This window comes from Homo sapiens, chromosome 3, assembly GCF_000001405.40.
Source record: "Homo sapiens chromosome 3, GRCh38.p14 Primary Assembly".
Classification (NCBI taxonomy): Eukaryota; Metazoa; Chordata; class Mammalia; order Primates; family Hominidae; genus Homo; species Homo sapiens.
In genome coordinates, this window is record NC_000003.12 from 137,795,901 (window position 1) to 137,812,319 (window position 16,419).

At 39.8% G+C, this 16,419-nt stretch overlaps 2 annotated features.

Annotated features, from left to right (window-relative positions):
• Positions 11,665–12,169: an enhancer, noted in NCBI's record as "H3K27ac-H3K4me1 hESC enhancer chr3:137526407-137526911 (GRCh37/hg19 assembly coordinates)". NCBI's record gives its function as "activates a minimal SCP1, AML or CMV promoter by ChIP-STARR-seq in naive H9 embryonic stem cells {active_cell/tissue: H9 hESC(naive)}" and the evidence as "EXISTENCE:reporter gene assay evidence [ECO:0000049][PMID:30033119]".
• Positions 12,170–12,673: an enhancer, noted in NCBI's record as "H3K27ac-H3K4me1 hESC enhancer chr3:137526912-137527415 (GRCh37/hg19 assembly coordinates)". NCBI's record gives its function as "activates a minimal SCP1, AML or CMV promoter by ChIP-STARR-seq in primed H9 embryonic stem cells {active_cell/tissue: H9 hESC(primed)}" and the evidence as "EXISTENCE:reporter gene assay evidence [ECO:0000049][PMID:30033119]".

Below are 16,419 nucleotides of genomic sequence, written 5' to 3' on the forward strand. Positions count from 1 at the left end.
GAAAGTGAACAAGGTAGGCTTGCTGCCTGCTTGAAGTTGACAACATAGTGGATAGAAAGTGAGACAGAGAAGCCACAAATCATTACCTGAGCCAATCAGTGGCCCACTGAGAACACTCCTTCCAGGTCATGAAATTTCAAGTGAAGTGGCACACCAGCTCACCCACCTACTTCCCACCCCGACCCCAGAATCCCCTTCCTGGAAACCTTGTGCTACCTCCAAAGCCAAACTCTCAAATAAACCCCAGCACCTTCCAGAGATGCCGTTTCAGTGGTGGGGTTTGAGGTGAGTACTCTGGGACCCAGCCTGGGTTTCACAGAACTAGGAGACTATCTGCCCTGGGCTGGCCCCAAGGCCAGTGTCAGAAGTACCCCCACCCTCCTGATTATCAGTCAACCCAGAACAAACGCTTTCCTCTACTTTCCCTTAATTGTACTTGGTGCTAGTCATCTCTGTGGCAAGAATATGAGCTTCTCACAAGCTAATAATGAAACATATCTTTGGTTCTTTCACAGCACCCAGCTTTGGGCTAAGTATGTAAATGTGGGCGTCAGATACACCTGCTTGAGTAAATGTCTCCTCTCAATACCTGGAAGAATGATGAGTGTTTGCTCTTCTACAAACCAACTCAAGGCACCCAGAAAGCAAGGAAGCTTCCAAAGAAAAATGGAGTTATATTAAAAGGATGTAGGCATTATCTTGAAGGGTTTTCTACTGGTCAAAGTTGGGATAATTTAAGCATCAAATAAATGATAGCTGTAAATTGAATATATAAGAATCCATGAATCTATAATGATAATCAAAAGAGAGACAGCCAAAAGGAAAATCACTCATCACCAGTGAAGGAAGCTATTATAATAATATAATAATATTAAGTTATAACATTATTATACAATATTTAAAATTCTATAATAATGGGAAAGAATTAGGCATTAGCCTGCCTTTCCAACTAGTACCAGATGATGATAGAACATTCTTCTTTACAGTAAAGCCCCAGCTAATAATATATAGATTTACAGAATTTAAAAATCACTATTTTGTATCCCCTAATAAGAGAAATGATTCATGCATGTGTCATCAATACATGTTAAAACCATAATGGGATAGTTTGGTGCCAAAACGTCACCCCCAAGATTATTTCCCAGTCACAGGGGGGAAAGTCTGACTTAATAAAGGAGGGACCTGGCTGTTGCCACCTAAACTCAAGGCTCTATCTCAGTGTTCAGTGGGACAACCAGACAGTAGGCGCCTTCCATAATGAAGCAATGTGAAGTACAACATCAGCTATGACATGCTCTTGCCAAAACCACTTAGGCCGAAACTAAGCAAGTCTTTAGTTTTGACTTTCAGTTTACAAGAAATACAAAGATTAGGGAAATGAGTGAAATGATATCACAAATGACCAAATGTCCAGAAAGTGGTACACTGTAAAGGACCAGTGGCCTGGTTTTTGACCAATTATTGTTAAGGGGAATAAAAGGAAGGAGGTTGTTTAACATTAAATAAGGCAATGAGACTTAACAGACATAACAATGAAATGCAATGTGTGGTCCTTGATTGAACTCTAGTTTGAATAACCACTTGGAAGATAGTTTGGAGAGTTTTTCACATAGACTGAGAATTACATGATGTTAAGGAATTGTTGCTAATTTTGTTAGCTGTGATAATGGAATTACAGTTATATGGGAAAATATTCCCAAACTCCTCCACCCCAAAATAATCATTGTTAATATAGATAAACTTCATTTCAGACATTTATTTCAGAGTGAGAAAGAATAAGCATGAGAAATATTTTATAAAAATAAAATAATGCTATAGACTAATGTTAAGAAAAAAATATTACATTGAAATTTAATTGAATTTAAAGAAGAAAGAAAAATCAAAATGAAATGAAGAAATGCCTGAACTTCAGATAAATGCTTTTTCACTATTAGAGATTCCCTAAATATAGCACTAAAATTGATAACAAAGTTTAAGAAGCACTCTTAGAGGCTGGGGTCATTACCTTTTTAAATAAACCAGATGCTTAAATTTGAGGCAGCATTGATTGATTCATTCATTTACAAACTAAGGAAATTCGCCTTCCTTTCTTTCCTCCTATTGTCTTCTTCACATTTTAAATCTATTCTTACTTGTTTTTATTGGTCAAGATGCATAGCCATAGTTCTCACAGTTGTTGAGTCTTAGTTTAAATTTAATGGATTCAATTCCCAACACCAATTTGTTTATCATGACTTCTCTATTTTTAGCTCTTTATTTGTATTCATCTCTTAATTGGCTGGATTTTATCAAGCCACTTTTGCAAGGCTCAAGAATGCCTCAAAACACTTACAGGTAAAGCAGTAGAGATGGAAAAATGGAAAACTTCATCTTTCCAACTATTTAAAAAAACCACAGGATTTTATGATAGCAAGCGTACAAATACACTGAAAGAAATTTATTTTCAGATTCTATCAAAAAGGATGCAGGAAGTCAGCATAAATGATTAAGAGAAAGAGCCCCAAAGCAAGGATTCTGAAACTGACTTTTCACCCCAGTAAGTGCTAGTTATAAGTTTTGGGGGCCAGTTATAGCTGTAAGGTCCTGAGCCTTCATTTCTCTATCTGGAAAGAAAAATTTATGGAAAGAATTAAAGAATAAAAATCTGTGCAAAGGGCCAGGACAGTGCCTGGCACATAGTGAGTGCTCAATAAATACTAGCTATCTCTAATGGGAATCCTAGGAGAAAGACTTTCATCTCTTCTGATTAAGTTAGAAGGAAGTCAAATTAGAAGTGAGAGATTATCAGGAGTTGCCCTCTAAGGTTTCTGACGCAGAGTTGGCCAGAGTTCTATCACTGTCAGTGTATCAGTGGGCAAGCCCTAAATGAAGTTAAAGCACGTAAGGAATTAACCTGAAAAGTCCTGTCCACCTTTTAAAGAGAAATAAATTAGGAAAAATTGTGACTGATACTAAGTAGTCAAGGATTAGTGAGAAAAGCACCTGTTCATAACTCAACATTTCCATTTCTTCAAATTTTGCTCTAATAGAATTTTAATTTAAATTTTGGTGATAAAACCAGGTTTTATTGTTCTAATAAAACTAAGGAAGGTAATTAAATCATTAAATAACATGCATTTCTTATCAATACAGTCTATCCTTCAGGGATCAAGTGACAAATTGACGAAGCATTTTTCTTTTGAGGCTTTGGGGACTGGCTATGGGATATGAACATCTCTCAGAACAGCTCACAGGCCAAGGCTATTGTCTCATGGCACCAACATTTATTGAACTACCTGACTTCCTCCAAAACTTCTGAGAAACTGAATTAAGGAGGAAATGACACTGATGCAAGCCTAGATCTTATTCTTACTATAACAAGCCTCAATCTCAGTAAAACTCTTCCTTCACCCTTTCATTGCACAGCTATTTATTGAGCACCTGCTATGTGCCAGGCACTCATGAATGTGATGTTGAACATAACACATAAGGTCTCTCAAGTACAGTTACAGTCTATTATTCAAAGTAGCATGCAAATTAACATAGAATTACATCTGTGATAAATGGTATAAAGAAGTGGTGTCTGGTACTTTCCAAGTCAATGAATACAGGAAGAAACCAACTGGTTTTCCTCTCATACACCACTCTCAATACTTCACTTCAGACACAAGACATGTGGAATTTTTTCCATACCAACCAGTTCTCTGACATCAAATAGGTGTCCTACAATTCAATTCAATTCTGACACTAGTGCAGACTTAGCACAGACCTCATAAGTGAGGAGTTCAATCCCACATGACTTCCCCCCACTTCAGATGCTAGTCACAAGTGCCAGGTTGTGACCTGTACTCTTACCAACTGGCTATAAATTGAAGATTCCCACAACCCCCTCCTCAGGTTTAATCTTTTGCTAGAATGGCTCACAGAACTCAGGAAAACACTTAGGTATACTGGCTGATATAAAGATACTACAAAGGATACAGATGAACGGCCAGATGAAAGGATATGGAAGGCAAGGTTCAGAAGAGTCCTAAGCGCAGGACCTCCCTCCGCATGGAGCTGGGGTGCACCACCCTCCTGGTCATGGATGTGTTTTTGTTCACCAATGTGCAAGCTCTCCAAACCTCATACTTTGGGGATTTTTTATGGCAGCTTCATCATATAGTCATACTCAATTATTAACCCTATTTCGAGCTCCATTCCCCTCTGTCAGAGAATGGAGATGGGACTGAAAGCTCCAAGCTTACAATCATAGCTTGGACTTTCTGCATCCATCTAGGAGCCCACCAAGAGTTGCCTTACTGAACAACAACAACAAAAACACTCCTATCACCCAGGAAATTCCAAGAGATTTAGGAGCTCTGTGTCAGACACTCCTATCACTCAGGAAATTAGAAACTCTTTGGGGCTCTGTGTCAGGAACTGGGGATCAAAGACCAAATATTAGAAAAAAAAGACCCTCCTAAAGCACTCTCATCTACAAGAGTTTTAGGAGCTCTATGTCAGAAACAAGGGGGTAGAAACCAAAATATATTTATTATTATTTCAAATCAATAACAGAGCTGTGTAGTTTGAAACTCTATTGCACCAGGAAAGGCATCTTTGAGGACGCAACATTTTAGCTGAGGGCTAAAAGATAACCATTTGCTATTGAGTAAAGTAGAGTATGTGGGAAGAGTGTCAAAAAACAAAGGGAATAATAAGGGTCAAGATTCCGTAACAGGGAGAAACATGTCAATTCCAGGAAGACAAGAAGGGCTAGAGAACAGGGAGCTGAAGAGAGTGCAGTCTGAGAAGAGGCTGGAAAGGTGGGCAGGAGGCAGGCCTCCAGTGGCTTTGTATAAGAGCAAGCAGAAGGTATTGGGAGATCTTAAACTGAGGCTGAATATAGCATGGACAGATTTGTGCCTCATAAAGTTCACTATTTATTGGAGTAGGGAACAAGAAATGAGACTACTGCAGTTAAAGCTGTACTGGTTAAAAAAAAAAGAAACTTGTATCATGGTAGTGGTGGCAGAGATAGAGAAAATTGGTTAGATTCAAGAAACATTTAGGTGATAATTTGATAGCACTTGATGAGTCAGCTATGGAGAATGAGAAAAGGGAAGCCATTAAAGATGTCCCCTAGGTTCCTAATTGTGGGGTTGGATGGGTGATGTTGGTGTCACTCACTGGAGTAGGAAACAATGGAAGAGGAAGAGGGTTGGGGAAGGGGGTGATAAATCATAGATTCCATTGGGACGAGTAGAGTTTGAGGGCTTTTTAAGTATTTTAAAACTCTAAAACAGGGCCTGGAACACAATAGACTCTAGAAAAATATTCACTGATTTAATGAATGAAACTGTCGAAAAAAGGAAGTTGAATTATATGTCTGGGTCTAAATGACAGGTGTGGCTGGAGCAACAAGTTTGTGAGTCATTGGCCTACATGTAGTTAGAAAATTTGGATATTGAAGACGGTTCCTTAGAAGGGAATACAGTAGGAAGAAAAGAGAGCTACGGACTTAACGGAATTCCAAAATTTATGATTCAGTGAAATAGGAGAAATCTGCCAAGGAGACAGAGGAGGGGACAGAAAGGTTGGATGAAAGCAGGACAATGAGCTGACATGATGCCCAGTAAAATATGTTTCAAGCAAAAAGAAATCAATATATATTGGCATATCAAAAAGAGGTGACGAAAGTGTTTAATGAATGGATTATTTGCAAAGGGGTGAACAGTGTTAAGGAAAACCAGCACGGAATATTGAAGCACACCAGGGCCAGCAACAAGTTAGTCTTACCACCCCTAGGCTCAAAGGGGAATGAGGAGAGAGGGATTCTACCTGAATCCAGTAGAGCTGTAGCTGTCAGAGCGGGCTGCCCAGCAATTGCCAAACTAAGCCTGGTGGGGAATAAGCCAAGGGAATAAATACCCCGACCTTTCTCTCTTCTCTCTGATCTCCTCCCTGGACTTTCACTGGCCAAACCTAAACGTTACTCAGAAGGCATGGGGGCCTGTTGATGTAATCTGGGGCATAGAACAGGGTGGCAAGGATAAAGAACAGATCTAGAGGGGCAACAGAGACCATCCAACACAAGCAAACAGTGAAAGATTGAGGCTGAAAGGGCAAGTAAGATAAGGGCTGAAACATGTTCACCGGGAGGCAGAAGTCCTAGCTAACTTGGAGGTGTTGAGGACAGAGATGTTGTGTAAGTCTGAATGGAGTGGGTTGAGGAGTGAATGGCAGGTGGAGAAATGAAGAGATCTCACCAAGTTTGGCTGAAAATGGTGACAAAAGAGAGCCACCGCTGGAGGGTGATGTGAAATGAGAGAGATGGTGTGGATAATATTTCAAAGAGTCCACTGATATGTTCCTTGCATTCCCACCCTGCTCAGCACTCAGTGAATTTCCTTCCTCATACCCTGAGGGCTTTCCCTTATCCCAGCCAACCCAGTTAGATGTGAAGCACATACTGATTTGAGAGAAGGGGTCACTGTGAAACCAGGTAGACAATAGCAGCAAATTATGGTTCTTAAGTTCAAAAACAACTTGTCTGGGTGTAAGATAGAAAAACTCAGCCGGCAACTTGTAGAACCAGTTTATCCTACTCTCTGCAGCTGAGATAAAAGACCCTCTGGGCTGCTTTACCCATACTCACCTCTCACACCTTGGGCTGAATCTGACACACCCTCCCTTAGTTGGGACAGAATATTAGAGAGGAGTCATGCCTCACGCCAAAGTGCGACCCAGGAACGTGGTGGATGTCTTAGAATAGTCGCCCATGCATCCTGTGCAGCAGCTGTGTAGTAGAGAGATGTCTGTCATTTTGGCAGCCCACAGAACATCTGTCATTTTGGCAGCGCACAGAACATCATCCTACTTCATCACAGCAATGACATTATGCTAACTGTACCCCTGCTAAGTGGACCTCGGAAGCAGCAAGAACCCTGGATTCCCTGGTATCTTTAATTCTCAACATGGACCTCAGGACACCAGTTATAGAAAGAGGGACTATAAAAGCCACCCTGTATATTAATTGATGGGCTCCTACCCCTTTTCCTCATACTATGTATGAAGAACATTGGTGGTGTCTAATGCTTTAGATTTCAGAAGAAAGTACAACCAAATTTTAGCATATGTGGAAAATGGAAAATAAAGAAGTTTTTTTTAAAAAAAAGGTATGACCAAATTGACATCACTGCACAACAACATGGTACCTGACGGGACTTTACGTATTTCCAGTGTCAGAGACATGAGCCTTTCACCTCAAGGAAGGGAAGGAAGGGATGCTATGGGGCAGAAGGGTGGATTTTGCTTGACACCTTCCACTTACTTTTCCAGATTCATTGTCTTCCCTTCCCTACCCTTGTGGAAACCTGAATAATGGCCCCCAAAGATATCCAGATCACAATCTCTGGAACCTGTGAATGTTACCATCTATGGCAAGAGGAAGTATGAAGATGTGATAAGGGTAGACTATCCTGGATTATCCCATGAAGCCCTAAATGTGATCACAGTGTCTTTACAAGAGGGAGGCAGAAGAAGATTTGCTGACTGTGAGAAATAAGCGAGAGAAGCTGTATATCTGCTGGCACTGAAGATAAAGGAAGGGGCCATGAGCCAAGGAATGCAATGAATGAAGCTCTTGACTCTAGAATAAAGGCAAGGAAACTCATTCTCCCTTAGAAACTTGCAGGAGCATAGATCTGCTGATACCTTGATTTTAGCTTTCTAGGGCTCATTTCCAACTTTTGGCCTACAGAACTGTAAGAGGATAGACTTTTGTTGCTTAAGCAACCAAATTTGTGGTAATTTGTTACAGCAGGAATAGAAAACGAATACAACTCCATTCTCTGCCCTGAAGATGCTGACCTGCTTCGACTAAATTGAAGGTCTTTTGCCCTCTGATTTCTGGTTTTGTTTGGCCTGAAAATGTTTAGTTGGTCTTATCCAGGATTGAGGTTTTTTTGTAGTAGATTCAAGGATATATTGGAGCTGGTTTGTACCAGCTTGCAAGAACCAATTGTGTGCATCTCTTCCAAACCCATGTTCAGTTGCATCCTAGTGATAGCTTGAAATCATTGACAGTAGGAAAATTTACACCAAGAAAATTAGCAAATGGTACAAATCAATACATGCACACCCAAGCTTCCTGTTGAACATTTACAAGCACTCTACTAAACAGGTTCAATGAAAAGAGAAAGAGAGAAAAGAGATTATGATATTTGGAAGAGAATTACTAATTTTTTTAAAACATGCTGTATAATAAGTGGGCTGATGGATTCAAAGAATGTAGAGAAAGTAAAGGACTGGGTCACTCATTAAGATTAAAGACCAATGTAGTGAGAGGAGTGAAAAAGTCATCTGCTATTTATAGTTCAAAACCAAGAAGAAAACAAAACACTGTATGATTTAAAGATATCAACATGTGCTAAAACAATCTAGAAAGGCAAAGAATTGATAAGCACAAAATTCAGGTGTGGTTACCTCTAGAGATCTATGGAAGGAGATACAGGGCTGCTAAGGTCCTTATGATGATATACTTCTTAACTGTGGTGGACACATGGTGTTCATTTTACTACTATTTTAAAAACTTACAGCTATGTTTCATATACCTTTTTTGTAGGTATGGCTTACTTCAATTTGGTATTCCTAAAGTTTGTTTACAATGGTTTTAGGCTGGCTATTATACAGACTCAAATATTTTAATTGAGAGTGAATATCATTGAATGGTAAAGAATTTGGGCTTTGCAGTCAGACACAAGGTCCAATTCTGAGTCTTCCAATATCAGTTACATGACATATATACACCATGGAATACTACTCAGCCATAAAAAGGAATATAATAGTCTTTTGCAGCAACTTGGATTTCACCATTTTGGCCAGGCTGGTCTCAAACTCCTAACCTCAGGTGATCCACCTGCCTCAGCCTCCCAAAGTGCTGGGATTACAGGCATGAGCCACTGCACCCTGCCTGAACAGACACTTTTCAAATGAAGACATACATACAGTCAACAATCATATGAAAAAAAAAAGCTCAACATCACTGATCATCAGAGAAATGCAAACCAAGACCACCAGATACCATCTCACACTAGTCAGAAAGGCTATGATGAAAAAGTCAAAAAACAACAGATGCTGGCAAGGTTGTGGAGAAAAAGGAATGTTTTTACACTGTTGGTGGGAGTTTAAATTAGTTCAAACATTGTGGAAGACAGTGTGGTGATTCAACCCAACAATCCCATATACCCGAAGGAATATAAATCATTCTATTATTAAGACACACGCAAGCATATGTTCATTGCATCACTATACACAATAGCAAAGACATGGACTCAACCTAAATGCCCATCGGTGATAGACTGGATAAAGAAAATGTAGTACATATACACCATGGAATACTATGCAGCCATAAAAAAGAACAAAGTCATGTCCTTTGCAGGAACATGGATGGAACTGGAGGCCATAAACCTTAGCAAACTAACACAGGAACAGAAAACCAAATACTGCATGTTCTCACTTATAAGTGAGAGCTAAATGATGAGAACACATGGACACATAGAGGGGAATAACACACACTGGGGCCTATCAGAGGATGGAGAGTGGGAGGAGGGAGAGGATCCAGAAAAACAGCTAATGAGTATGAGGCTTAATACCTGATGATGAAATAATCTTTACAAAAAACCCTCATGACACAAGTTTACCTATGTGACAAATTTGCACATGTACCCCTGAGCTTCAAATAAAAGTTAAAAAAAGAAAATTTAAAAATTAGTTACTCGACATTGGACAAAATATTTTTCACTTCACAAATGTTCATTGAGTACTAACCATATTCCAGACACCAGTCTACATGGTGGGGATACAATGATTCCGAAGACAGACAAGCTGCAATCACAGATACAGTTCCCTGTTGTTGAGGAGTTTACACTTTAGCTTCTCTGAACCTCAGTTTTTATTGAGGACTGGAATTTTTGAAGACTAAATGAGTTAATTTTACAGGCATTAGCATAGGGTATGGTACTTGGTAAATACTCTGTCAGTGGTGGCTACCTTTACAATTAATACGTATGAGGAAGCAAAATGATCCTTCATTTATATGCCAACACTGGGAAATAAGATGTTCCATATAAATGAATTTTTCCAGAATTTAATACTTCATTGTCTAGGATTTATATATATATGTATAACATACATATAGTAAGTGCACAAATCTTAAATAGGTCTATATTTTTATGTAAGTATATACCTATGTAACTGCCATTGTAGATCACAATACAGAACATTTCCAGAACTCCACAGAGATTCCTAAAACTTTCTGATTTTTCACATTTTTAATAGTCAAATTACTGAAAAGTTCTACAAATTTCTGAAACATCTTGTATTTAGGAAAGAAGGACCAGAAACATAACCATGTCTTGATGGCTATTGCCAAAGGCTATTTTTCCTTCATTTTCCCCCTTACAATCTGATTGGTTTATTTTTAATCAAACTAATACATGCTCAAAATATAAAGTTTCAGCTACTTCAGTGTAATTTGCTCTCTCATTTTCTTCTTTTTTATTCTGTATCTCTTTTAGATATACAAACAGAACATAAACACCTTCTCTTTGTAAAAGGTTGGATACATTTATCTCTGATTTTTGGTAGGGCTGACCATCTCTTTCCTAGAGAACATTATACCTTTCTTTTAAGGTCCAAACTTTCTTATTGTGTGTTGCTTTTAATTTGTTGCACAATGATAAATACATTACTACTGATAACTGCATATTAAATAAGAATCAACATGGTGCTAATGGTCAACAAAGCCCAGTGAAGGACTCTGTAGTACTAAATTCTGGGACATCTGCTTTAGGGCTTCATAGGGATTTTGTTTGCTTGTTTGTTTTTAATTATCTTTTTTCTCTTCCATGAGAAGCTTTGCATATGTTGGGCTTGAGATAGAGTGTCCTTACATACTGACTTATTTATCCTTGTAGCATCCATGCAAGACTAGTAATAATTTGATTCCTTCTGATAGATGGGGAATGAGACACACTGCATAAAGGCTGGCCTCACACCAGAGCAGCATTCTTTTTTTTTTTTGAGACGGAGTCTCGCTCTGTCGCCCAGGCTGGAGTGCAGTGGCGGGATCTCGGCTCACTGCAAGCTCCGCCTCCCGGGTTCACGCCATTCTCCTGCCTCAGCCTCCCAAGTAGCTGGGACTACAGGCGCGCGCCACTACGCCCGGCTAATTTTTTGTATTTTTAGTAGAGACGGGGTTTCACCGTTTTAGCCGGGATGGTCTCGATCTCCTGACCTCATGATCCGCCCGCCTCGGCCTCCCAAAGTGCTGGGATTACAGGCGTGAGCCACCGCGCCCGGCCCAGAGCAGCATTCTTATCCAATGTCTTTCCCCTCCCAGCTGGGCACTTGAGATTTTAGAAATATCTCTTTTCACTTCTTTAGGAACCAAGTAAAACTGAGAGTTGACAATTATCTGAACAGCCAGCTAATCCCAGCAATTATTTCCTTTAGGATGGACTGTGGTCCACTGGAGATATACTCCAGATGACTATTTAATCTTGACTAATTTCCTTCTGTTCAGCCATGGATAATTCTAGACTTCAGATCACATTAGGGGATGAATTACTGGAATGGGATGGATGCACTGTGTATGCAGCACAAATTTCTGAGTGGGTGCAGCCTGCCCAAATGTAACCCCTAAGGCTGTTTGTGGATACTCGTCCCAGCAGGTTTATTTAATTCTTAAACAGAAATAGAATAAATAAAATATTAAGACTACACTTTGGGAATGTATGAATCTCACATTCATTCATTCATTCACAACTTGCTATGTGCCAGGCACTGTGCTTGGAGGTTCAGGTAACTCCTAAGAACACCTGGGCCATCCCTTCCTGCCACTTCTGGATGGATATGCTTTCTTGGCTTGGTTTCATTTCTCTTTTCTCAGAAGCCTATCATCTCCATGCAGTATGGACCCAGTTTAATCTTGGCTTGGAAATAAGCTCATTTTTCTCCCCATTTATGGAAGGGATTCTCCACAGAAAAGAGGTGATGTTGCTTGCTGGGCTGCTGGGGAGAGATCATCACACTGCCTGAGATGGCTTTTCTCCCCTCTGCAGATTCGTAGAGTCCCACTTGGACTCCAGAGTCCCATTGAGAGTATGACAGCAATGTTTATGTGCAATTCTAATGCTGGTTTTAGCAGCATAAGTGCTTTTTAATGCATAGCACTACAGCGAGTGGGCCCTATTCTCTCAGCCTCTGAATAGCTGTCTAGAGGGGCGTAATTCCCAGCTCTGCCTCCAAGCACAGTTATTTACAAGCTCAGTTACACGTTTACGTCAAGTGTGGTGAACGCCGGGATGGAGACAGGCTGAGTTTAAAGCAATTTGGCAAGTCTTTATTTCCTGCATAATCACTCAGGTCCCTCAGCGGCCCCTGACCAGAGCGTCTGTTCACATATGTCAAAGGGAGCCTGGGAATTCGGGGAGACTGGCTGCAGGAGTAGAATTCCTTCCTTCTACCTCTCTCCCTCCAAGGTTCCCCACTGGCCTTTTAGTTGCCCGTTAGATCTCCACTTAAACCAAGATTCTCAGCCCAAATCTGCGTACTGGTTTCTACCTCCACAGCCTTCACCCCGTCTGGAATTCTGTTAAAGTGTTTAAACTTCCTGTCCCACGCTGGCCCCCGGTTTCCATCCTCTGCCCCAATCCAGCCCCAGAAAATCAGACTCATTTTTTAAAAGAAAAAAATCAGATACTGATACTACTCTGCTGAAAATCCTCCAGTTACTTCCCATCAAACTTGGAAATAAATCTCTTTACAAGCACCTACGAGGCCCAGCAGGATTTGGTTTCTGCCTGCTTCATATACCCATCGCAGGCTCCCTTCCCCCACCGCTCACTACCACCCAGTCACATTGGCTTCCTGGCTATTCCTCAGACACACCAAGTGTGTTCCTACCTCAGGGCCTTTGTATGTTCTAAGCTCAGAACACGTTATCTCTGCCTCTCCCATGGCTGCCTCTTCATTGCTCAGGTCTGAGCTGAAACCTTACTTCTTTAAAGAAGCCTTCCCTGACCATCCAGTCTGAATAATCATTTCTTTCTCCCAGTTACTCTCCACTCTACTATCCTTTATTTTCCTCAAAACACTAAACATTATTTTAAAAAATCTTACTTATTTGATTATTTATGCACTTTTCTGTCTGCCCCACTAGAATAGAAAATCTAAGAGAGCAGGAATCTCAACTATTATAATTACCATGGCCTGGCACATACTGAATGCTCAATAAATACTTATCAAATAAGTGAACTTTCTTACCAAAGTATTAACTGATGCATGTTGTCTTATTGTTATTGCTATTACTGACAGTGCTGTTTTGTCTGTGACTATGACCTTTTTCTATATAGTCATCTTAAAATAAATGAAATTGGGTCAGCATGATTTATTTTTCCTTCATTTTCCCCCTTACAATTTGATTGGTTTATTTTTAATCAAACTAACACATGCCCAAAATATAAAGTTTCAGCTACTTCTATAATATATGTTGTTTAAAACATAAACTAAAACAAGCCAGGTGTGGTGACTGATGCCTGTAATCCCAGCTACTCAGGAAGCTGAGGCAGGAGGACAGTTTGAGGCCAGGAGTTTGAGACCAGCCTGGGAAAAATAGTAAGATACTGTCTCTAAAAAAATTAATAAAATAAAATAAAACAAAACAACAGACTTTTCCTCATCTCTTTCTTCCTCCTTCCCACAGGCAACCATGTTTTCCTGTTTTTGCTGATTATTTTCTGATTATTTTAGGATTTTCCTCTATGTTTCTAAATAACATATCTATATTGCTGATTCATGATTTTTCATTTTTAGGCATTATTTGTTGACTACTCTCTATCAAAGATGCTAATTTATTGAGCTCTCACTATGAGAGATGGGGGTTTAGGTCTCTTTCCTACTCCCTGGCCAACCATATATATGTGCCCTTCTCAGCCATGAGCCTTCCACTAGAATAATCTTAGTTTTGGTGAAATTAATATTCCATGTTTACATTATTACAGCCAAAGCATAGAATAAAATAAGAATATTTTCCTGTCCTGCACAACCTCTGGTCACCAAGCAGGTGCCCAGGTATTCCTATCCAAGATCCATTTGTCTTCACAGGAACTGGAGAATTGGAGATTCCTCCTTGGACTTCAGAATTGTGATGCAGCTTGGACATTCCGTCTGTGGAAAGCAAAAACGCAAAACTCTGCTTAAGTCAGTCTCCCATGCCTTGACACGTTCGCTCATCCAAATCACTGAAACTTGGGAAATTGGTTCAGAAGCACATCTGATTATGTGTCTCATGTATTCACACTGTGACACCATCATGCAGGATCCCTCTCTAGGGGGCTCTTCTCCATGGAAGCCTGAGGTTGTTGACAAACATTGTCATCAAGAGATGTAGCTTCTAGTGCACAGCTTTGTGGTCCTAGGCTTGGCTAATGCAAGTTCTTCAGTAGGAGGCTCTGAAGAAGGGCCATTTGGTCATTTGGTTCCCATTGGAGTTAAACAGAACTTATTCTAGAATAGTACAACTCTTTCCCAATCACTTGTGTTATGAGCTGAATTGTGTCTCCCCAAAACTCATGTATTGAAGCCCTAAACCCCAGTGTGACTGTATTTGGAGAAAGGAACTTTTAAGAGGTAATTAAGGTTAAGTGAGAGCATAAGGATGGGGCCCTAATCCAATAAGACTGGCATTCTTGTAAGAAGAGGAAGATACACCAGGGGGCCTCTGCACATAGATAAGGCTATGTGAAGACATAGATAGAAGACAGCCATCTGCAAGACAAGGACAGAGACCTCAGGAGAAGCTGAGCCTGCCATTACCTTGATCTTGGACTCCATTCTTCAGAACCATGAGAAATAAATTTCTGTAGTTTAAGTCACCCAGTCTGTGGAATTTTGTTATGGCAGCTACAGCTGACTAATACACCTTGTGATGTCCATGGCATTTTAGAGCCAAGAAGGGCTCACTGTGGCAGAGAGGAACATTTACTCCTGCCCAATTTACTCAGCCCCTACAATTTCTTGGGGGCTGATTATTTGATTATTTTAGGATTTACCTCTATGTTTCTAAATAACATATTATATTGCTAATCCATGATTTTCTCATTTTTAGGCATTATTTGTTGACTACTCTCATCAAAGATGATAATTTATTCAGCTCTCACTATGATAGATGGGAGTTTAGGTCTCTTTCCTACTCCCTGGCCAACCATATATATGTGCCCTTATATCAGCCCCAACCCCTTTTCTGGACCATACTGGGTCCACACTGGGACCATACCCCTTTTCTGGTGTATGCATATGCTGAGTGGAATTTAGAATCTCTTTCTTACCGACCTACATGCTGCTCAACTGCTTTTTCTACACAAGTAGAAGTATTTCACTTTTAGAATTCATCTTGATTCCTGAGGATTTACATGCTGAGTTACTTCAAGTTGAAGGAAGCCAGAATTTGTATGGACCTCATGCCTCCACCCAGGGTGGAATTTACAGCATTATAAAGGCTTTTCATGGCCTTTGTAAAGTTTTAAAACTGTTAAATTTTAACAACTCAGGTTGTAGGTTCATAGAGACACCCTATAAGTATTCTCATAATGAGCAATGAATTTTCTTCTGGAAATGGATAGAAGCTCATTTCTGTTGGGTGCAGTTTCATCTTTTCTAAGGAAGCCATTTTTCATTTGTCATAGGATTTGAAATTTTAAAAAATTGTCTAGAGTTGTATAGCATAGCTGTCTTAATCACAAATAAATTGGCTTTTAAATGCCATTCACATACTTTCTCATACCTCAGCTTGAGTTGACTTTTTATTATTTGCTTCATTTTTTATCAATGTAATACATGTATGTTTTTTAAAAATTGCACTTTATCAAAAAGGAAACAATGGCCCTTTATCCTAGCCACCTCCATCCTCATTTCTGTTTCCCCAACACCAGCATTTGTTTTTTACTTGTTTAAGCTATTTTTTTCTACTAGTTACTTCTATATTTCCAGATAATGTGCTTCTACCACTATTTCAATGATTTATCCACTGTTGACATTATCTATTGATTATGGTGTTAAGATTAATGGATGTTTAACTTTCTTAGGCTGTCCCCTCCTCACCCATCCATGTCCTCCTAATATAGTTATTTCACCATTTTTGTTAAATCAATAATAGGTAGCTTACATCATTATGACACAGTAAACGTGTCCTCTCCAAAGCAAAGGAAGGTGCATAACTACATTTCCTCTCTTGTATAGTGTTTTGTCTTGTCTGGTGTCTCATTGCCTTACTCATTTCCTGCTGTCTTTCTGTCATTAGCATACCCATAGCATGTGTTTACATCATAATATCAGGAATTGCATTGAGTCCCCTCTTTCCGGAAGACCCCTTTCCCAGATCCCCCTCTCCAATCT